The sequence below is a fragment of the Homo sapiens genome, chromosome X (genome assembly GCF_000001405.40).
Source record: "Homo sapiens chromosome X, GRCh38.p14 Primary Assembly".
Taxonomy (NCBI): domain Eukaryota; kingdom Metazoa; phylum Chordata; class Mammalia; order Primates; family Hominidae; genus Homo; species Homo sapiens.
Genome location: NC_000023.11, coordinates 82,496,609 through 82,498,393, shown reverse-complemented (window position 1 = coordinate 82,498,393; position 1,785 = coordinate 82,496,609). Strand labels below are relative to the sequence as shown.

Genomic DNA, 1,785 nt, shown 5'->3' with positions numbered 1-1,785 from the left:
AACTATCAATACCCTGGAAGATAACCTGGGAAATACTATTCAGGACATAGGTGCTGGCAAAGATTTCATGATGAAGACAGCAAAAACAATTGCAAGGAAAGCAAAAGTTGATAAAGGGAACTTAATTAAACCAAAAAGCTTTTGCACAGCAATAGAAGCTATCAACAGAATAAACAGACAACCTACAGAATGGGAGAAAATATTTGCAATCTATACTTCAAAGGTGTAATATCCAGAATCTGTAAGAAACTTAAACAAATTAAGAAGCAAAAACAACCCTATTAAAAATTAGGCAAAAAACATGAACAGAGACTTTTCAAAAGAAGATATACATGTGTCCAACAAGCCTATGAAAAAATGCTGAACACCACTAATTCAAGAAATGCAAATCAAAATCACAATAATATAACATCTCACACCAGTCAGTATGGTTATTACCAAAAAGTCAAAAATTACACAAAATGAAAAGTCACTATATTATGCCAGTTTTTTGGAAGTCTTAGTTTGAGATGTGTGTATTTCCTTGGAAATTGATGACTTGAAAAAAATTGCCAATTCACTGACAGTGCTTTGCAATGAAAAACAGAAGCAAGAAAAGCAAAGCACAGCAGAAAAGAAGAAAGGTGTGGTTCCTGGAGGAGGATTAAAAGCCACCATGAAAGATGATCCGGCAGATTATGGTGGTTATGATGGAGGATATGTACAAGATTATGAAGACTTCATGTGACATTTTATCTTTCTTGGTGTCATCTTTATGTTGCCCACAATCCCTTGAACATGTAGCACAACTTCCTTTCCTTTCAGTTCTGCCAAATGCTGCAATCAGAAGTGCAGTATCTTTTGTGCTGGTTATTTAATCCCTTGACACTTAGGTGCTAATGTGCAAATGAGGGAACTTGGATCTTGCTGCCAAGGGGTTAAAACTGGGAACCTAAGTTGCTACTAAATCATAGTTCAAAACCTAATAATGTTGTCATTGTAGTTATCTGATTTCATAGTAGCAGTCACTAAATTGGAAACAAAAGGTTGCAACATGACAAAAAAAAATTGTGTAGTATTTACCAGCACCATTCAGTAATACAGCCTTAACCATACCTCCTTGAACTACTTCATAACTTGTCAAGAAAAGCAGTTTGCAGGAAGGTCATGTGGTGTGCACCTAGTATTAAAGTTGCTTTGTCTTAAAACTGAACATGAGGATATTAAAAATACATTGTGAAGAAAACTTCTTATCTCAGAGTGAAGATACTGTGGCTGAAAAGCACTAGTTTGATATAAAATTAAAATGACCAAAACCCTCCAACTTTGAAGCTAAAGAAGGTAAACCTTTCCATTATTGCATTACATTTTGTGGAATCTCTTGAGTGCAAAGACTGTCTAGTTATTTATCAGGCTATTTCTACTGATGAAGTGCTTCAGGTAGGGGAGGGAAACTAATTTTTATCTGCCTGATGTAAGTGATGAGAAATAAATCTTTGTTCTCTTAGGCTGCAATGGAACAACTTTACCAGGGTTTTGGCATTTCCTTTCCTTTATAAAACATGCTCAGCAAACTGCACCAGTTAACTACAGTTTGGTCACAGTTTGGTTACAGTTTGGCCACAGTTTGGCCACAGAGATTGTGACAGAAAGGAAATGCTTATTTACTACTGTTGGGAATGTAAATTTGTTCAGCCATTGTGGAAAGCAATTTGGCAATTTCTGAATGAAAAGCTGGAAGTATTCCCTTTGAGAATTGTGATTTGATCCAGCAATCTCATCATTGGGTATATACTCAAAGGAATA

The 1,785-nt window shown here is 35.6% G+C and overlaps 1 pseudogene across 1 annotated transcript; it reads left to right on the top strand.

Annotated features, from left to right (window-relative positions):
* The first annotated feature begins 448 nt into the window (after positions 1–448).
* Positions 449–1,578, top strand: EIF3JP1 (EIF3J pseudogene 1; annotated as a pseudogene). The gene has a single exon (NR_170311.1). The product of NR_170311.1 is annotated as an EIF3J pseudogene 1 (transcript).
* The last annotated feature ends 207 nt before the right edge of the window (positions 1,579–1,785 follow it).